Source organism: Homo sapiens, chromosome 3, assembly GCF_000001405.40.
Source record: "Homo sapiens chromosome 3, GRCh38.p14 Primary Assembly".
Lineage (NCBI taxonomy): Eukaryota > Metazoa > Chordata > Mammalia > Primates > Hominidae > Homo > Homo sapiens.
Window position 1 is genome coordinate 182,805,421 of NC_000003.12, and position 22,541 is coordinate 182,827,961.

The 22,541-nt window shown below is 36.3% G+C and overlaps 1 protein-coding gene across 4 annotated transcripts in view; it reads left to right on the top strand.

The window, feature by feature from the left end:
* Window positions 1-22,541, top strand: part of ATP11B (ATPase phospholipid transporting 11B (putative)) — a 128,126-nt gene that overhangs the window by 11,917 nt on the left and 93,668 nt on the right. For all 4 annotated transcript variants that reach the window (XM_047447784.1, NM_014616.3, XM_011512593.3 and 1 more), the window contains exon 2: window positions 14,840-14,956. In XM_047447784.1, coding sequence (XP_047303740.1) covers window positions 14,840-14,956 — 117 coding nt within the window. The remainder of the gene's footprint in view (window positions 1-14,839; window positions 14,957-22,541) is intronic.

The window sequence follows — 22,541 nt, forward strand, 5'->3', positions numbered from 1 at the left end:
ATTTTTGGAGAAATGCCTATTCAGATATTTTTGCTTTTTTTTTTTTCTTTTGAGACGGAGTTTCACTCTTGTTGCCCAGGCTGGAATGCAATGGCACGATCTCAGATCATGGCAACCTCCGCCTCCCAGATTGAAGTGATTCTCCTGCCTCAGCCTCCCAAGTAGCTGGTATTATAGGCGCGTGCTACCAGGCCCAGCTAATTTCTTTTTTTTTTTTTTTAGTAATGATGGGGTTTCTCCATGTTGGTCAGACTGGTCTCGAACTCCTAACCTCAGGTGATCTGTCTGCCTTGGCTTCCCAAAGTGCTGGGATTACAGGCGTGAGCCACCGCACTGGGCCGCTTGTTTTTAATTGGGTTATTTCTTGTGTTTTAAAAAAAATTCTTGAGTTGTAAGACTTCTTTATATATTCTAGATATAAGACCTTTATGAGATGTGATTTGCAAATATTTTCTCCCATAATGTGGGTTGTAGTCCTACTTCTTTTTAAACTCAATGTTTTTTAGCATTAGTTTTTAATTAATATGGTAATTTTTATTTAGCACAAGGATTTAGTGATATCTTTTACTCATTATTGTTTCTTGCATACCACCTCTTTCTTCTGGATTTAATTTTATTCTTGCTGAATAACTTCTTTAGTTGTTTTTAAGCAAGAGTTCATGAGTGGTAATGTTTTTATTTCATAGTCACTATTGAATGGGAATTTAGCTAGATACAGAATTCTAGATTAATGGTTACTTTAGCTCTACGTATTGGAGATACTACTTATTCCATTACTTTCTGACATTTATTATTGCTGTTATGAAATATGCTTTTAATCTAATTGTCATTACTTTGTTGGTAATATCTTTCACATTATTTTTAAGATTATCTTTGTCCTTGATATTTTGTAATTTTACTGTGATGTATCCATCATGTTTTTTCATATTGTTTTTCCTGCTCTGCATTTGCGTGTGCTTTCAATCTGAAGACTATACAATTCAGAAAAATTTTTAGCCATTTTTTCTTTAAAATATTATTTCTCAGCCTTTAGTTTTCTCATTCTAGAACTCTTGCTTGACATATGTTGAAGCCTCTTAATTTGTTCTCTATGGCTCTTTTCTTATTCTCATCTCATTTTCTATCTGTGCTGTTTTCAGCAGAAATTTTTTATTTCTAGCTTCTAGTCCACCAATTCTCTTGTTTTCACTGTAGTTTATCCTGTCTTCTGAATTTTTACTTAAATGACAATTTCTCATTTTCAGCATTTATTTATTATTGGACCTTGTTCATTTCTGTCTGCTCTTTCTGCATATGTGCCTGATTTGTTTCATAATTTTTCATTAAAAATATTATTCCATTATTCCTTTGGAGATCTTAAACATACTTATTTTAAAGGTACCCAGCTTTTTCCAGGCTTCTTTCAAAGGTGGGAGCAAGCCTGGACCCAAGCACAATACTACTAATTGAACCTGACTCTAGAACCATGGTGCAGAGGGGGTACTGCTGATTCTTATCCGGCTATTCTTATCCTATAGGAGTTGAACTTCAAACTGCTTATTTCCACACTGAGAGTCCCAGAGGCTCAGCTCCTGATTACAGAAATGATTATCTTATGTTAAGCTTGGCTAAGTATTAATTTAAAAAAAAAAAAGACTATCTGTCTTTGCTTTTGTGAAGTAAAGGGAACAGTTCAAAATGTAGACCTTCCCAAAGCCAATAGCCAATTAGTGTCACAGCCAGGACTTGAACCTAGAGAGTTTTTCCAGGGAGTTTAGTAGTGTGGAATAGAATTAGCCATAGTAGGGAGAATGAAATAACAGTAGCTTCCACCGTTATCTCTTAAATCTGCCTGAAAGTGTGATAAGACTACAGAATGCATTAGGGGAAGGAAAGTCTAGCAGTGGTATTCTGGAGATGGTGGTGACAAGTTTGTAGAGGAAAAAGAAAAAAAAATGATCAAGAGTTTCTAGTCCAGCCATGGCCATTCTCAAGGTGAAATATATTTTATTAGTTAGGCCTGGCTTATATCTTAATGTGTATCTCCTCTTACACATGTTATATAGTGTAAATGGCAATGTGTACATTGATTTTAAACAGCGTGGCAAATTATTTTTTAGAGTTTTCAAAAGTTTTAAATTCCTTGGGAGCTCAAAAATTATTTTGACATTTGAGAAATTTGTGACCTTGAAATAGAAATTAGAATTGCAGCAAAGAGATAAGGTGGTGCCCATTTTTAATAATAGCTTTTATCATATCCATAAGGAAATTATGTCATACTTTTAAATCTATTAAGGTTATATTTTATAATATTCTGTAGGAAAATAAGTGAGTCATCTATGATTTAATGCTATTTTAGTCAAAATTGTACTTATTCTACATATTTTACTTTTTGTGCTTATTAAAAAGGCTTTTTTTAAAAATGAAGTTTTATTCAGGGGAGGGGCGTGGTTTTCTCATTTTGGTATTTCCATAGTTCTAAGCATATTACCTTGCTCATGATACTTATAAATTGAATTATAAGATCAAATACTAAGTGGCTTGATATTTCAGAATGATCAAACATTTTAACTTAACTGAGTAGCAAACACGTTTTTCTTTATAAGTGATACACATAGGTATTGTAAGATTTTGCTTTGAAGAGTCTTTTGCAATGAGTGTAATTGGCGGATAAAGCTTGAGCACAATATAGTAAGTCCAAGTCTTAATCATATGTTACCTAGAACGTTGTTTCTTCACTTTTTCATCTCCTGAACTACAAGGGGAATGTAGATACTCTTGCTTATTTTAGCTCTCCACTATGCTCTTTAAGGTACGATAAGTTCAGAAACAGTGAGAGTGAACCTGATTGTTTACTATGGAGAGACTGTAAAGTAGTTCTCTAATCTTGTGTTTTCCTGTTGAAGTTCCAGTGTTGTAAAGGAATTGGTTTCTAACTTAGATATGCAGGAGACCCTCATACCTTGTGGATCCAAATCTTTATGCAAAGTTAAAGGGAATTGATGCAGTGCTAACCTGCCAATGTTGATCAACATTTTTTTTCCAGCATATATTTGTAGTATTTTTTTTTTAAAGAGGGAAAAGCTGAAGTATCTTAGGAATGTATTATGAGAAAGGGAAAGTCAAAATTTGTAAAGAATGCTTTTAACAGTTTTTTTTAGTTGGTAGTCTCCCAGGCCATGGGTTCCATAATGATGATGTTTCATGTAGATTGAGATAAAGCTCTCAGTGGTCTATGGCAAAATGAGAAAAATGAGGTCAGTGTAATCTGTGTGTTTGCATAAATTTATAGATGTCCTTGTTTTTGAGTAATTTTTTTAACATTTTAAACATAAACTTTATTTTAGAATGGTTTTTGATTAACAAAAAAGTTGCAAATATAGTGGAGAGGATTCCTGTACCCTTCTCTCCCACCCAGTTTCTCTTATTGTTAACATTTTACATTACTGTGCAGCGTTTGTTACACCAATATTGATGTGTTGTTATTTAACTGCATACTTTATTTGAATTTTATTAGTTTTTCCCTAATGTTCTTTTTCTGGTTTAGTTTCTCAGACTTTAATTTAAAGTCTTAGATTGTTTCCCTTGCTTTCTTTTTTATTAATATTCTTGGTTAGAAAAATAAAAAGTTGGCAACCCTATGCCAGTTTCCTAATTTAAAAAAGTTTTACCGATCTGTGAAATCCAAAACTGTTCCCTCCTATAGGAGATTAAAAAAATAGAAGTCCAAAACTCTGAGAACCAATGCCTTTGGTTATTAGAAGTTAGTGTGATAACCATTAACAATTAAAGACTAAGTTTCCTAATTACATTTTATTTATATTCTATTTTATTTCTTTTATTTAATTTTAATTATTTTATTTTATTGAGACAGACTTTTGGTCTGTCGCCCAGGCTGGAGTGCAATGGTGCCATCTCCGCCTACTGCAACCTCCGCCTCCTGGGTTCAAGCGATTCTCCTGCCTCAGCCTCCCAAGTAGCTGGGACTACAGGCATGCTCCACCACGCCTGGCTAATTTTTGTATTTTTAGTAGAGACAGGGTTGTGCCATGTTGGCCGGGCCGTTCTTGAACTCCTGGCCTCAAGCGATCTGCCTGCCCTGGCTTCCCAAAGTGCTGGGATTACAGGTGTGAGCCACCACGCCCTGCCCGCTCTGTACACTAATAAGCAATCCTGTACACATCCTTTGCTTGAACTGTCACCATTTTGCTTGCTGGGTTCCAATATCAAGTCCAGCCCTCTTTTCTAAGCTCTAAGCAAGTATATCCAGTTGCTTTCCAGATTGTTAGATATCCATGCTAGTTGTCTCACATTTAAAACAGGAAACAATCCTGATTTGATCTTAAGTATGTGAGATGAAATAGCTTAAGGCATAAATCACTAAGATTTCATCAATTCCATATGGGCAGGGACTAAATCATGTATTTCTTTCATCATCATTAGTCCTTAGCACATTACAAGGCACATAGTAAGTATTCAGTAAGTATTCTTTGATTGGTTGCTAAAGTACATTTTTAAAAAATCGAATACAGGAAAATATTAAAAGGCAAGAATTGCAGATCAGCAGTAGAATTTTCTTAGTTATTATGCAGGGTAAATGAGCTGCTTTTTGAAATAACTGAAAATAAGCTAAAATTCTTCTGTTTTTTAAAAATACATTTTCAGCCGGTCACGGTGGCTCATGCACTTTGGGAAGCCGAGGCGAGCAGATCACTTGAGATCAGGAGTTCAAGACCAGCCTGGCCAACACGGTGAAACCCCATCTCTACTAAAAATACAAAAGATAGCCTGGCATCGTGGTGGGTGCCTGTAATCCCAGCTACTCAGGAGGCTGAGACAGGAGAATTGCTTGAACCCAGGAGGTGGAGGTTGCAGCGAGCCGAGATGGCACCACTGCACCTCAGCCTGAGCGATGGAGCAAGACTCCACCTCAAAATAAATAAATAAATTTTTCAGAATTATGTTAGTGTGATCCAGTGATGCTAAGTAATCATTTCTCTGCTTAAAGTTTAATTTTCATAGCAATAGTTTAGGATTTACTGAGTCTTTTTTTTTTCTCTTTACCCTGCGTAGACATGCTTTACTTTCTTTCGAAGCATATTTCCCAGGTTCTTGATAACACATTTCTGACATATAAAATTAATTAGACAATTGTGCATCTTCCTCCCACCCTACTTTTTTCTACCTTTGTGTCTATTCTTTTCTAAGTGAGTAGGATTCACCTAGCATCTTTATTCTTTGACCTCAGTGCGTTTTTTGTGCTGCTACTGTTGAGAATGTTTTTACCTATACTTTATCCTACTTTTAAATCTGTAGTTGGAAATATTTGTTGTACAGTAGTTTCCTGGTTTGAGTACTGTCTGTACTGCTCATGTGAGATAAGCAGCACCTTCTAACTTGAGAGATAGTGAATACTTGTGGTATAACTTACATTTTAACATCCAAATACATAGTTGATTCTCAACGCTGTCAGACATATTTCCCCTGTTCGTATCAAATATTTTATAAATATTTCTTCCTTTTTAAAATCCTGAAATAAAATTTAAATAAGTTGCTTATACAAGTAATTTTTTAAAAAATCCACATTACCACCCTAATTGTCATATGAAGGAAAAATAAATGAATACATTTATATTAAATAAAATCTATTTCAGTATGTAAACAATCATGACTACACTGGACATAATGAATAATCAGATGCTGAAGTCATTGTGAATGCTCTGGCTCTAAAATATACTGCTAAAAATATATTGTTATGGTGACTCATAGCATTTTCACTGGTGATGTGATTTTCTGAAATAGTAAACAGCACTTCATAAAAGTTCTGACAAAAAGTATAATCTTTCTTCAATTTTCCTGGTAATTGCATTCCTGGAAAATTCATAAATCCATATAAAATTTTTTTGTTTATGTTCAAATAGAAGGTTTGGATTATTTCAAAGGGATTTTTGCAAACATGGCGTCTGGAAGTTGTGATGCTCATAGGACAGTTCTTCATTGGCAAGGCTCTGCAATCCATTACAGAATGTCTAATACTTCTGCCTCACCCACCCAGTAACTAAATGCCACTAGCACCCCCCAGTCATTGTGAAAATCAATACCAACCTTATTTCTGAAAAGTTCCTAGAAGTCCACCTTCCTTCCTTTGGCTCATCCCCCCAGAAGGAGTTTTTTGAGGCATACACCTCTTAGCTATAATAGAACTAGTACATACAGTTTTCTATATGAGAATAGCAACCAATCGGAAAATAATAGGTGGATAGAAAAGCCTGTAGAACACTAAGTATATGATTATTCGGGAACATTATTTCAGTGATATTATTATTTTGGTTGGTTTGCCCAATTTAAGTTGTTTATATTACATTGTATGTATCTGATAACAGGAACAGCATATACTTTCATTGTAGGTAAGAGCATTATGTATTTTGATAAACATTAAAAATGTTTATGGCAAGATGAAAAGTAGGACAACTAGATTGTGGTGAGACTGGTACAAAGTAGTTGGTTTTTGTTGTTGCTGCTGCTGTTATTTATTTAGTAATGGTTTCTTGGTTCAGACATTACTGAAAACAGGTTTCCAGCGTGTAAAATTAATAGCACAATTGCATATCTTCCATCCACCTTTTTTCTACTTTTTTTTTGCATTAATTCTTGTCTAAATAACCAAATAGGATTCACCCAGGACATCTTTTTTTACTTCAATACATTTTTTAATGTTGTTTAGAATTTTGTGGTGTACATTTGTGACTGGTATATTTTTTAAATAGTAAACTTTGAAGATATTGTGAAAAAGATATGTTTATTCATTGACTGTGTCTCCAGCCTATTTGCAGAGTTGTAGCCAGCTGTTGCTGATATACCAAGGAGGATTTAGAAAGCCATTTTCATTGCCAGTTTTGTTTATGATTGTTGGGGGAGAAGGAGGAAGCTCAGAAGTGTTTTAGATATGAGTGGAAATGTATTTTTACCCGTTTATCTCCAATCTGGATACTGCAGCCATAAAATTTACTAGTTTCACTCCTTATCCAGACAGTGGTTAACTGGATAGGCAAAGAACTCAAATTTAGTGTCCTTGCTTATAGAAACCTTAAATTCTCCCTTACTAAAACCTGTGATCTTTAAATTTGATCTAAACTAAACCTTACACATTTATTTTTATCATAAATACCTCTGTGTTTCCATACATGGAAACTACCAGTCCAGCATATAAGGGATATTTACTATCATGGTTGAATTATGGCCAAATAGGACTTGCCTGATGCAGAAAGTCCACAGTGAAGTCCCAAATGGATGAAGTTGATTTCTAAAAATTGTGTGAAATATACATAATATAAAAGTTACCATTTTAACCATTTTTAAGTGTACAGTTCTGTGGCATTCAGTATATTCACATTGTTATATAATCATTACCACCATCCATCTCTTGAACTTTTTTATCTTCCCAGCCTGAAACTCTGTACTCATAAACTTGCCATTCCCTTCCTTACTCAACCCCTGGCAACCACTTTCTGCTTCTGTCTTATGAATTTAACTACTCTTATTCCTTATATAAGAGGAATCATACAATATTTGTCATTTTCTGACTGGCTTATTTTACTTAGCATAATGTCCTTAAGGTTGATCCATATTGCAGCATGTGCCAACATTTTCTTCCTTTTTAATGCTGTATAATATTTCATTGCCTGTATAATACCACATTTTGTTTATTCATTCATCAGTTGATGAACACTTGGATTGCTTCCACCTTTTGACTATTGTGAATAATGCTGCTTTGGACATGGGTGTAGAAATATTCTTCGAGCTCCTTCTTTCACTTCTTTGAAGTATATACCCAGAAGTAGAATTGCTGGATCTTATGTTAATTCTGTGTTTAATTTTTTGAGAAACTGCCATACCATTTTCCACAGTAGCTTCACCATTTTACATTCCCCCCAGCAATGCACAAGGGTTCCAGTTTCTCCACATTTTTGCCAATACTTATTTTCTGTTTTGTGGGGTGTTTTGTTTTGTTTTGTTTTGTTTTTGTAATAACTTTGTTAATGGATGTGAAGTGTTATCTCCTTGTGGTTTTGATTTGTATTCCCCTAATGGAAGTTGATTTGTTTGACCTTCAGGAATGGATCCCCACCAACTGTAAAACTGTAATAAATAGCCTTGATAAAAATAAGACATATCTAGGAACACCAGAATAAAAAGTTTCCTGCTAGCCCCTCTTATACTAGTAATGGTATATTTCACTCTACAGAACCGCTTTAAAATTTTTTCCATTTCCAAATTAAATAACATAAAAGTTAAATTCAGTTTGGTAGACATTTGTTTTTTATTATTTTTATTTTTTATTTTTTTGAGGCAGGGTCTTACTCTGTTGCCCAGGCTGGAGTGCAGTGGCATTATTGTGGCTCATTGCAACCTTGACCTCCTGGACCCAAGTGACCCTCCTGCGTCAGCCTCCCGAGTAGCTGGAACTATAGACACATGCTACCCCATCCGGCTAATTTTTCTATTTTTGTAGAGACAGAGTTTTCCCATGTTGCCCAGGCTGTTCTTGAACTCCTGGCCTAAGTGATCCACCTGCCTTGGCCTCCCAAAGTGGTGGGATTACATGTGTGAGCCACCACGCCTGACTGACATTTATTTTTAGTGATATTTTATATTTATTTATTTATTCATTTATTTATTTTGAGACGAGTTTTGCTCTTGTCACCCAGGCTGAAGTACAATGGTGCAATCTTGGCTCACTTGCAACCTCTGCGTCCCAGGTTTAAGTGATTCTCCTGCCTCAGCCTCACAAGTAGGTGGGATTACAGGCACGCACCACCACACCCGGCTAATTTTTTGTATTTTTAGTAAAGATGGGGTTTTACCATTTTAGCCAGGCTGGTCTCGAACTCCTGACCTCAGGTGATTTGTCCACCTCGGCCTCCCAAAGTGCTGAGATTACAGGCGTGAGCCACTGTGCCCAGCCTTTAGTGATATTTTAAAGCCAAATTCAGAATGTGAAACTAGAGAATTTGAAACTCAGAATGTGAAAACTAGAGAATTTAATCCATTGAGTAAATATTCTTTAAAGAATTAATTTGTGTCAGACATCTAAGCACATGCTGCCCTTAAGAATTTTACAATCTGAGCAGAGCACAGTGGCTCACAGCTGTAATCCCAGCACTTTGGGAGATTGAGGAAGGAGGATTGCTTGAGCCCAGGAGGTTGGGACCAGCCTGGGCAACACAGTGAGACCCCATATCTACAAAAAATTTTAAAAGTTAGCTGGGCATGGTGGTGTGCATCTGTAGTCCCAGCTACTCAGAGGCTGAAATGAGAGGATCGCTTGAGCCTGGGAAGTCAAGAGTGCAGTGAGCCGTGAATACACCACTGCACTCAAGCCTGGGTGACCGAGCAAGACCTGATCTCAAAAGAATCTTATAGTCTGGAGGGGGAGATAGATACAGAGACAAGCAATTAGAATTCAGTGTAATGAAATCTATACTGGAACCGTATAAAAGGTTTGGTGGGAGTAGTACATAACACATGCCTTCCTTTGTCTCTGGGGAATGAGGGGCATCAGCTAAAGCTCCACTGAGAAGGAAGCTCTTAAGCTGAAAAATGAAGGATGAGTAGGCTTTTCCTGGAGCCAGAGATGAGCTACCTTTAGTAAAACTTTGGCAAATGATTTGAGAATTTTTGAGTTATCTTTCGCTAAGATTACTCTAGATTTTATATCCTACAGCTTGAAAAAATCCAGTCCCAACTCACCCCTGCACTAAGCCAGGGTTCTTGGAAGACCGGACTGGTCTGATAGATGGCAAACTAACTTAAATCCTGAAGTGAAAGTTATGTAATACAAAGCAAAAAGCTGAGGTAAATTATAACTGTTTACATTGTGGGTGTTTTAAATTTTTCTCTATCACCTTAGTCTGGTCTGTTAACAGTGTCACATTATCTTGCCCTGATGGTACCTTTATATAGGTATATTTTACTGAATAGGTATAATTTATTGAAAGTTTATGTCTAGGAAATAGTAATTCACAATTAACTTTGTAGGTTTCAGTAAAAGACGTTAAATAATTCCTCCCCAGAAGCATTGGTATTTTTTTTCCCTAGGCATTTTCATGTGCCTGTATACTTTGAAACATATAGCCAGCAAAAATCACTTTCTGTCATGAATGTGATCTAAATAAAATTCTGTTCATTTATTTTAATAACCTAATACAGTTTTGACCCTGAAGCTGCTTTTTGTTTTTGTTGTTTTGAGGTCTTTTGTTTGTTTTGATGCTTTTTCTTTCTGTCATAGAGCAAATAGATCATATGTAGGAATGCTAGAAGGCGCTGTGAACTCTAAGGATGATGTTTTCTTAGTTATATTAAAGAAGTATGACTAATTAAATTATTCATAACTATAGTTTTAGTCTCTTCTTAGCTCTTTTACTTGTAATGCTTATAAAATCTTTGGGATTTTAAGATAATGCAGAGGCTAATATACTTGGCCTGAAATTGAAAATGTTGAGATTCATTCCTAAGTATTGTTTTATGCCAGAGACCTCCTGCTAAAATTGATATAGCTGTTTGCTGATTTGATTTCTCCAGGTCTCATTCAGTTTGGTTACAAGAGGAGTCCCGTTCAAATCAATCCTGTCTTGTGTATTAACAGTACTTCCCCTGTCTGCCATCATGAGACTTTTTCCCCTTTAAATATTCACCCACTTTTTTTTTTGAGTACCTATGGCTTTAACATATGCTCACAAGTCCAGTAAGAAAAAAAAAGGGATTTTGAATTTCATAATTTTTAAGAATATGATAGCTTTCAAATAGTTTAAATTTGTGTGCCTACAATACCTAAACTCTACTTTTTAGTAGACATTAACATAAAGCCAGGGTGGCTGGAATAGCATTGATCTATCTCAGGTCCTTTGCCCAGGACAAGATAAAATCAGAGAAGAAAGGAGCAGGCAAGCATTAAGGGGTTGAGGGTGTGAATGAGTAGCCTGGGATAACAAGAGAAAATGTATTATGTGCCAAAGGTTTCTGAACCTTGCCATGTAGCCTTGACCTAGTAATTAGAGAGTTCAGATTATATTTCCTTTCCAGTGTCATAGAATTGCTGATAATGCTTACTAGAAATAGTGTGAAACTATGCTTGAACTTCATACTAAACGTGTAGTTACACAAATAATTTTGTTAATAGTTTGTTTTGACTCCTGTTAAAGAAGATAAAGGTGTTACTGAAACATAAAGATTCTCTTGAGGTAGTTTTAAATATAGAATTTCAAGCTACAGAACTAATTACAAAGCAAGATTTTAAGTTAAGTACTTTTAAGCTTCTTTTCATCATGCAAAGCTCATGAAACCTATGTATACGCTTATCAGAAAAATGCACATATATGCAAATTTGCACACAATTTCAGGGATTCACAGAACTAAAGCCCATTTATGGATCCTGCTCTAAGTCACTTTCTTCATTTTTGGATAGTTTTGTTCTTTTATTTTTATTTAGATTGTGGCTAGTTTAATTTGTTGCAGCAAAGTTAATATTAAATACTAATGAACTGAAGTTATAAGTTTAATTTCCGTAAGGGACATTTGGCTGTACTTATACTATAGACACATATATTAAATTTACCTATTTTGCATATGAAAGAAAATAACACACGTACGTGCCCACAAATGCAGGCCATTGACTATAATATGATTGAATGAGATTATGTGAATTAATAAAAAGCCTCAGAATGCATAGGTAGATATTATATCATCATTGGGAATATGGAAAAGTTTGTCATCATTCTCCTTTTAAATTTGTCATCTTATTTTTAATTGGAATATAGAATTGCTCTATAGGATTTTTAAAATTCAGTTTAATTTATAATGTATTTTGGGGGGACCGTTTTTTTTTTTGTTTGTTTGTTTTTGAGACAGAGTCTTGCTGTGTTGCCAGGCTGGAGTGCAGTGGCACGATCTCAGCTCACTGCAACCTCCACCTCCCGGGTTCAAGCAGTTCCCCTGCCACAGCCTCCCAAATAGCTGGGACTACAGGTGTGTGCCACCACACCCAGCTAATTTTTTAATTTTTAGTAGAGACGGAGTTTCACCATGTTGGCCAGGACAGTCTCGATCTCCTGACCTCGTGATCTGCCTGCCTCGGCCTCCCGAAGTGCTGGGATTACAGCCATGAGCCACCGCCCCCAGCCAGGGGGAACGTTTTAATATATCCCTTTGAAATAATTATAGAACCCTCAGGAGTTCCAAAATTTTAGTATGTGGTCATTGGTTCTTATCATCCAGTAGAGATAAATGGGAAATGATGAGCATTTGCTTCATGTAAAGTATGTGCATTTATATGTTAATATAAATTCTAGTCATAACTGAGGTGTTGCTGTAGTTATCTTGCTGTTATTTTGGGTCCTTTTTTTTTTGTTTCTTAACTTTAGATGTACATAAATTCTGGTCTTGTGAGAATTTAGCAAAAAATTAAACTTTTCTTTAAGTGGTTCTCAGTCTCAGTTGTCTTGACATCTTAAAGATTTACGTACTGTTTGAGGCCCTGAAATTTACTTTCTTTTTTAAAAAAACTTTATCCCAGAAGCTATAAATCAGTGTTTAAATTAGTGTTAAAGAGAAGTAGTAACATATTAGTAATATTTTATCTGTTTTAACGGGCTCTTAAAAAGGTGTCCATCTGAATCTGTTGAGTTGAGCTGAAAGCAGAGTGATGCTGGAGAGAAAGATGGCAGAAAGCATATTAAGAGGCAGGAGCTAGTGTTTGGGGGGAGATGTTAACATGTTTGTGGAGTGGATGCTGAATAAATATGCTTCCTGCAGTCTAATGCTCCAGATACCTGTTTATAGGTAAACTTCCTGTGAACCTCTTTTGAGAAATACAGCCCTAGACTAAAGGAGTAGCCTTGAAACTATTTGTTCATTCATTTGTTCACTTATTCATCTGTTTACCAAATTGTGAAAAATTTTAAAGACACTTTATGAGGAAAATAAATATTTATGCCACCATATTTTTTCCTTAAAGAGACTGATTTTTGAAATCAGACACATAATGCTACATTCACATCTACAAAGTGTGTTCATCACTATTGCAAAATGTTGCAAAAGCAGGGTAGAAAAATCTTAGGACTTTAAATAGTCTGAACAAATAAACATGTTTGTTATGATGCATACAAATGCATTTGTACAGTCCTGTACTAGCTGTTTCTGAGATCACAGAATAAAAGTTTAAAACCAAGAATAATAACAGTTGAATACCGTACATAACACTTAATATTCCAATGGACTAAGCAAAATATCCCTCTAAGTTACATGGGATCTCACACTATCTGTGTATGTCTGTGCTTAATGGAAATGCTACAAGGATGCTAAGTGTTGAATGGTAGCCAAATTACTTACGTAGTAGGTTACTAAATTAGAGCGTTTACTAATATCTAAAAATGGATCATCATAGCTTATGAATACCCAAGTTTTATTGACCTTTTAATAACTGCTTAGTAGTACTAGTAAATAGCCCATGACCACTATGTAAAAAAAAAAAAAAAGAAAAAAAGAAAAAAACCTAAGGAATTTTGAATCGTTTTCCTGTTAGAACCAAAGAAAGAAAGTCTTTCATTTGGATATTGCTTTCAGCCCATCAGTGGGTTCCCAAGATCTGCCAAAAGAGTCTTTTTTTCTTTTTTCTAATATTTCTTTTTTTTTTTTTTTGAGACGGAGTCTCTCCCCGTGTCCCAGGCTGGAGTGCAGTGGCGCGATTTCGGCTCACTGCAAGCTCCGCCTCCCGGGTTCCCGCCATTCTCCTGCTCAGAGTAGCTGGGACTACAGGCGCCCGCCACCACGCCCGGCTAATTTTTTTTGTATTTTTTAGTAGAGACGGGGTTTCACCATGTTGGCCAGGATGGTCTCGATCTCCTGAGCTCGTGATCCGCCCGCCTCAGCCTCCCAAAGTGCTAGGATTACAGGCATAAGCCAGCGCGCCCGGCGTCTTTTTTCTAATATTTCAAAACCCTAGACAATATGCCGAATGTTAAAGTGTCTTGAAGGTTCACTTGCAACTGTGGAAGTGGAAATACAGTCCTCTAAGAATAAAGTTTCAGTGTTCTTGTTACCCGTGAAATCTTTTCTACCAGAGGTGATTACTAATATGCCTTGACAGATGGTCTTCTCAATCTGAGGTCAGGATATGAGTTCCCAAAGGCCAGGAATTACAGCATATTCATATCTCTATTTCAGTAAGTCAATTGATACTATAATGGCTCAAATAAGTGATTGTGTGGAATGAGTCTGGGCAAGACCCTACCTAATGCACTGTAAGTCATCTGGGAACAAAGCTCTTTGCAACCAAGTCAGTCTGGGGATGGAAAAAGTAAAATAAATATAAACCTTTGCCATCAGATGTGGTAGGTGCTTATTAGGCTGTAGCTACACAGGACTTCCACATCACTGAGTAGAAATCCATCCATAGAAATGAAAGGGAAGGAATGCAGTAGGGATAGAAAATTTGTCCTCAAATACTTCTATAGGTCTCCCATATGATTTTTTTTCAATATAGTAGTATTTCTGACAGAGAATGAACTGTTTTTCATTACTAAAGGCATTACCTAGTTAAGTTTCTATCTGGAGATAATGTACCTGTTTACCTGTGAAAGAAAAAAAAATAGTAAAGTTTCTATCTGGAGATAATGTACCTGTTTACCTGTGAAAGAAAAAAAATAGGTGGCATAGCTCTTCTAATTAGATGGATTGAGTCTATATGCATTTTAAGGGCAATAGTAATATATGTAATCTGACCAGCTAAATAAAGCTAACAGTAAAGTATCATAACTAACCTGGTTGACTAGTATTTCTTTTTCTCTTGCTTGATTGGTCTTAGGGTTTTGACCCACCACATCAGAGTGACACAAGAACCATCTACGTAGCCAACAGGTTTCCTCAGAATGGCCTTTACACACCTCAGAAATTTATAGATAACAGGATCATTTCATCTAAGGTAAGAATTAAAATTTTTATTGTTAGGCCAGGTGCAGTGGCTCATACCCATCATCCCAGCACTTTGGGAGGCCAAGGCGAGAGGATCGGTTAAGCCCAGGAGTTTGCGACCAGTGTGGGCAACATAATGAGACCTTGTCTCTGCAAAAAATCAAAAAATTAGCCAGGTGTGGTGGCACACCTCTACTGACAGCTACTCTGGAGGCTGGCTTCAGCCTGGGAAGTCGAGGGTGCAGTGAGCTGTGATTGTGCCACTGCACTCCAACCTGGGCAACAGAGTGAGACCATGTCTCAAAAAAAAAAATTATTATTAAAACTGTAGATATGGATCATTTTATTTTTAAAAGTGATTATATGTGTGTGTGTGTATTTATTTATATCCTTACAAATTCAAGAAAACGGTGGTCGATTTATCTTAACCAAAATGGTTAACTGTAGAATACAAGGAGTGGCTAATTGCTGATATCAGTAGCCCACATGCCAAAAAATTATCTTTAGTTGCTAGTAAACTAAGGAACTAATATTTATGCTATGTACCAGAAACTATATTAAGTACTTCTCATATCATTTAATCCTTACAACAACCCTATGAGATAGCTTTTATGAAATCTATTTTACAAAGCAGTGTTATACTGATTTTAAATCAGTTTCCTCAATTGAAGTCCTAGGAAATGGAATAATTTTCCCAAGGTTGCTCACTAGTAAATGGCTAGATTGGATTTTTGGGGTTTTTTTTGTTTGCTTGTTTTTTTGAGACAGAGTCTCGCTGTGTCACCCAGGCTGGAATGCAGTGGTGCAATCTTGGCCCATTGCAACCTCTGCCTCTCGGGTTCAAGCCATTCTCTGCCTCAGCCTCCCAAGTAGCTGGGATTACAGGTACCTGCTACCATGCCCAGCTAATTTTTGTATGATTAGTGGAGATGGGATTTCACCACCTTGGCCAGGCTGGTCTTGAACTCCAGACCTCATGATCCACCCACCTCGGCCTCCCAAAGTGCTGGGATTACAGGTATGAGCCACTGCACCCGGCCATAGATTGGAATTTAAACTCAGTTCTGTGTTGCTTTAAAGTCTGCTTCCTCCAATTTTATCACTCATTTGTACACATTTTATGGTGCCAAAGTACAGCTTCACTCTTATATATTCTTCCTTGTTTCATTTTTTCCTGTGGCATTTTTAAGTTGTCTTAGGTTATTCTGAAGCTAAAGACTGTAGAATAGTACTTTGCAGTAGACTTTTCTGTCATGATGGAATTGTCCCATATGATGGCCAATAAATTATACAAGGTTATCAAGGCCTTGAAATATGGCTAGTGCACTCAGAAACTGAAGTTTAATTTAATTTTTATTTAAATGTCAGTAGCTACATGTGACTAGTGGCTTGGACGGTACAGTTATAGAGGATATGAGTCAAAGAGACTGAGGGTAAAGTTTTCCTTATATCATAACTATTGCCTGAAAGGGCACCTTAAGAAGCATCTTTGCATTGCTCCTTCCCTCTCTTCTAAAGCAACTAACATCTTTTCTCTAATCCTAACCTCGTCTTTCCCAAGGATGTTGTCTTAGGTCAGCAGTTCTTTGCCCTGCCCCATGTTGCTGCCTTCACATTCTTTATGTGTATAACATACCCTTAGTGCCATCTCTCGTTTTGGATGATGGTTCTAAAGCAGAAAGTAGGAAGAGGAGATGTCAGAATCCAGGATAATGGATGAGCTTTAGATTAGTGACACAGTTCTTTTTTTTTTTTTTAAATTATTATTATACTTTAAGTTCTAGGGTACATGTGCACAGCGTGCAGGTTTGTTACATATGTATACATGTGCCATATTGGTGTGCTTCACCCATTAACTCGTCATTTACATTAGGTATATCTCCTAATGCTATCCCTCCCCCTGCCCCTACCCCACGAGAGGCCCCAGTGTGTGATATTCCCCATCTTGTGTCCAAGTGTTCTCATTGTTCTGTTCCCACCTATGAGTGAGAACATGCGGTGTTTGGTTTTCTGTCCTTGCAATAGTTTGCTCAGAATGATGGTTTCCAGCTTCATCCGTGTCCCTGCAAAGGACATGAACTCATCCTTTTTTATGGCTGCATAGTATTCCATGGTGTATATGTGCCACATTTTCTTAATCCAGTCTATCATTGTTGGACATTTGGATTGGTTCCAAGTCTTTACTATTGTGAATAGTTCTGCAGTAAATACACGTGTGCATGTGTCTTTATATTAGCATGATTTATAATCCTTCGGATATATACCCAGTAATGGGATGGCTGGGTCAAATGGTATTTCTAGTTCTAGATGCTTGAGGAATCACCACACTGTCTTCCACAATCGTTGAACTAGTTTACAGTCCCACCAACAGTGTAAAAGTGTTCCTATTTCTCCACATCCTCTCCAGCACCTGTTGTTTCCTGACTTTTTAATGATCGCCATTCTAACTGGTGTGAGATGATATCTCATTGTGGTTTTGATTTGCATTTCTCTGATGGCCAGTGATGATGAGCATTTTTTCATGTGTATTTTGGCTGCATAAATGTCTTCTTTGGAGAAGTGTCTGTTGATATCCTTTGCCCATGTTTTGATGGGATTGATTTTTTCTTGTAAATTTGTTTAAGTTCTTTGTAGATTCTGGATATTAGCCCTTTGTCAGATGGGTAGATTGTAAAAATTTTCTCCCATTCTGTAGGTTGCCTGTTCACTCTGATGGCAGTTTCTTTTGCTGTGCAGAAGCTCTTTAGTTGAATTAGATCCCATTTGTCAATTTTGGCTTTTGTTGCCATTGCTTTTGGTGTTTTAGACATGAAGTCCTTGCCCATGCCTGTGTCCTGAATGGGATTGCCTAGGTTTTCTTCTAGGGTTTTTATGGTTTTAGGTCTGACATTTAAGTCTTTAATCCATCTTGAATTAATTTTTGTATAAGGTGTAAGAAAGGGATCCAGTTTCAGCTTTCTACATATGGCTAGCCGGTTTTCCCAGCACCATTTATTAAATAGGGACTCCTTTCCCCATTTCTTGTTTTTGTCAGGTTTGTCAAAGATCAGATGGTTGTAGATGTGTGGTATTATTTCTGAGGGCTCTGTTCTGTTCCATTGGTCTATATATCTGTTTTGGTACCAGTACCATGCTGTTTTGGTTACTGTAGCCTTGTAGTATAGTTTGAAGTCAGGTAGCGTGATGTCTTCAGCTTTGTTCTTTTGGCTTAGGATTGTCTTGGCAATGCGGGCTCTTTTTTGGTTCCATATGAACTTTAAAGTAGTTTTTTCCAGTTCTGTGAAGAAAGTCATTGGTAGCTTGATGGGGATGGCATTAAATGTATAAATTACCTTGGGCAGTATGGCCATTTTCACGATGTTGATTCTTCCTATCCATGGCCATGGAATGTTCATCCATTTGTTTGTAGTGACACAGTTCTTAAGAAATTATGCAAGAAATAAAAGCTCTTGAAAACTTTAGGTTTTTTTTTTAACTTGGGGTATAATTTACATACAGTAAAATTTATCAGTTTTAAGTGTGCAGTTTGATGAGTTTTGACAAATCTGACCACCGCCATAATCAAGATGTGGAATATATCCATTGCTTCAAAAAAAATCTTTCATGGTCTTTTGCAGCAGGTCCCCCTCCTCCTCACCCCCCAGGCACTAGCAACCACTGATCTGCTTTCTGTAACTATAGTTTTTTCTTTTCTAGAATTTCATATAATACAACACAAGTCTTTTGTGCCTGACTTCTTTTTTCGTAACATAATGCTTTTGGGGTTCATTTTTGTTGTTGCAAGTATTAGTATCAGTAATTCATTCCTTTCTAGTGCATAGTTTAGCTGTCAGCCTGGAATTGTGTAGTTAATGTTTTGAATATAAGCCATTTTCTTTGTGTGGTTCTCTGACAATCAGTATTTTCCCTTTACATTTCCAGCTGCTTTTCCAGCCCTGAACTCTAATCTTGGTTACATGTTGTTGATGAGGCTGTAGTTTTCCCCAGCTGTTTTGCAGCCATTGTTGTGTGTGGTAGGTGGATACTGTCTCCAAGCTAAGAAGCCAAAAATTCACAATTTATACTTCTTCCATTTGCAATTTTTTGAAATTAAACTCTCTTCCCGTTTCCATCTATATTTTGGACATTTTCCAGTATTTGACATAGTTTTTAAAATGTAATCTTTATAATTCTTATCTGCTGGGAGTCCACAGGACCACCTCTTTGTCAATAGTGGAAACTGAGTGTCCTCCTAGAAAGCTTTTGGGATTAAATAAGTATCTTTAAATGACTGTCTCTGTACACAGAAGTATTTGGTTTAATGTTTTTGACCATATTTTTTAAAATGTGGATGTTTAAAGAAGTATTGCCTTTTTAAATGTTTACGGTAAATGAGGACTGTCTCATTACTACCTATTACGCCACTATTGCTTTCATAAACTCCTTCCAAAACAGATTACCTGTTATTCCACAAACTCATGTTGAACTTTCCTACCACTGTGCCTTTGCTTTGATTTCATGTTGTTAGCCACAATTTTTAAAATGTAAATTTTATGTATTTGTGGACATTGTAGATTTTATGTTTTTGTAGAAAGGTAGAATTCATATCTTTGACCATAATTTCAAGAATGTAAATATTTATACAGATACTGTCACTTTTTTCCTGAGCATAAATGAAGCCTGCTTCTCATTACTTTCATTTTACTACCTTTCACTCCCCTGTTATTCTCTTGGTCTCCTTCCAGACTGCATTGTTTTCTATCTCACAAAGCCATGATGAGCTTTTCTCCTGTCCCTTTGCTCATGCTGTCCTAGCTTCCTGAAATGTTCTCCCTTATTTGCCCTGGATTTTCAGCCTGTTGAATGTTCTTCTTTTAAAGCACATGTCAAATATGACTGTCTTGTTAAATTTTTTTCATACACTTTACCTTTGAATACAGCTATTAATGTTTTGTTCTTAATCTCCTCTACTTAATATTAAACATCTTATTTCTGTTTCTCTTATTGTGGAAGTGTCTTGCATGTTGTGGTTGTGTGGTATGTCTTTAACTGGCCATAGTAACTACATTATCTTAAATTTAAACTTTCTTTGGCCATGTGTAGTGGCACACACCTGTAATCCTAGTACTTTGGGAGGCCAAGGTGGGCGGATCACTTGAGGCCAGGAGTTTGAGAACAGCCTGGCCAACAGGGTGAAACCCCGTCTCTACTAAAAAAATACAAAAAAATTAGCCAGGTGTGGTGGCGGTTGCCTGTAGTCCCAGCTACTTGGGAGGCTGAGGCAGGAGAATGGCATGAACCCAGGAGGCGGAGCTTGTAGTGAACAGAGATCGAGCCACTGCACTCCAGCCTGGGTGACTGAGTGAGACTCTGTCTCAAAAAAAAAAAAAAAAAATACAGAAAAATTAGCCAGGTGTGGTGGTGCATGCAAGTAGTCCCAGCTACTCAGGAGTCTGAGACATGAGAATCGCTTGAACTCAGGAGGCGGAGGTTGCAGTGGGCCAAGATTGCGCCACTGCACTCCAGCCTGGGCAGACAGAGTGAGACTGTCTCAAAAAAATAAAATAAAATAACCTTCTTGCAAAATATTTAATTTTATAGCCATGTTTTAGTTTTCTTAGGAGAAAATAAGGTCAATTATAAAGTCATATATGACTATAGAGAAGTTACACTTCTAATTCATTTGTCTTAACCATTATTACATAACAAAGAGAACTTTAAAGCATAATAAATTATTTTCTTAGCAGTATTTTCATAATGTTTGATATTATGCTACTAGAGTTCTCCCTCTCTATACAATAGGACAAGCACAGAATTTAGACTCATTCACAATCTATTATGTTTGTATTTCAGAAAAACTAGAAACAATTTCTACCATTTATGTGCTAGTTTTCATAAGAAATTTTTATTTGTTCTGAGTTGTTCCTTGTATTATTGAACTAGCCAAAGAAAACACCCTGAAACCAATTACTTTACTGCCAATTTATATAGCTGTTCTCTTCAGGATTCTGGAATACAAAATATATTGTTGCTGTTACGTTTCAAATAGATTGCTGTAAACTTAGGAGACTTCCAACCTTCCTTATAAAGTATTATACATTTGGTGACTGAGATACTCTGACAACTGATTTTTAATTCCAATTAAGATCACCTGCAGGTGACTTGACACACAATTACCATCTCATGTGTATACATTGAACATTGACTTCCTTTGGCTCCAGGAAGTATCTACCTCTCTTCTTTCTAGAGCCCTAAACATACTTCCCATCCTCAGATTCTGGAACCACTGCTGCCGCCACTACTCAGGGAAAATATGTTTCACATATTCCAGATTCAAACTGAAAATATAATTTCACCAAAGAAGGAAAGTTTGTTGCTATTGGACTAGTCTTTCCATATCCCTGGGTCAGATAGGCTTTTGTGGGCTTTTCTGGGAACCTAACTCTGTTTATAAGGTTGTTCATGTGGGAAACAGTGTTTCAGGTCTCAAACAGCTAATTAAGAAGTGAACTTTTGACAATGAAAATCCAAAAATTAGAGCCATCTGACATGACACTAGGTAACGTAAAGTACCTCTTTGGAAATCTTGAATTGGTCAGTAACCATTGAGGCCTCATTGCCTGAGATCAGGATATTATCTCAGAAAAAACCCGTTGTCAACCATATTTATTTATTCATTAATCTATTCTGCAAAATATTTGATCTCTACCTATGTGCCAAGGAGTAGTATATGTGCTAGAGATAGAACAGTAAATAAAATGATATCCCTGGCCTCAGGGATCTTATATTCTTCTGGGAGGATGTACATAAAGTAAACATTCTATAAATCAATTTCCCTGTTTCATGTATGAAGTTATGTTGTGAGTTGTAACACAAATAAAATTTGCAGCATATTATTCTGCCCTTGTAATACAGCATTATAGGTTTTTGAGCTGAGTAATAATAATAAGCACTTTTATAGCAATTAGTATGAGCCAGGTTCTGTCCTAAGTGCTTCTTCAGTATGTTAGCTGATTTAATGTTTATAGGAACCCTATAAGATATGATTAATATTATCCTCATTTTATAGAGGAGCAAAGTGGGACACGGAGAGATTAAGTCCAAGGTCATTTAGTGAGTATTACAAATTAAGATTTGGGCCACCACAGTTTAACCCCAAGCATCTATGCTTTTAACCATTGTGCTATACTATCTTACCTTTTAAAATTGATATTGTGACAGATTTTCGTATCCTTTATGAAATTTTCTTGGTGGTTATCGCGGCGATCACTTATCTAAAGCATTTCTATTTCTTTAACATTCTAGGTTATTTCCTCATATTTCATACTAAACAAACTATTTCCTCTGTTTCTGATGCTAAACTAACTAAAATATAAATTGTATCTAGTATCTGCATTTCTATCAACTCATATTTATCTTTAGCATTAGGTTTAGTTTTGTATACCAAAATCCAAAATAAGTTATTAAAATGTTGTTTTAGATCTGCTTTCTCTAACTTCTAAAAAAACTGGAATTTAGTAGCAAAATTGTTGGGTTTCAGCTTATTCCATTTTTCAAAATTAAGCTAAAATTGCCAATAAATAGTAAAAGGAAGAAAAAAGGGAAGTAGAATAAAA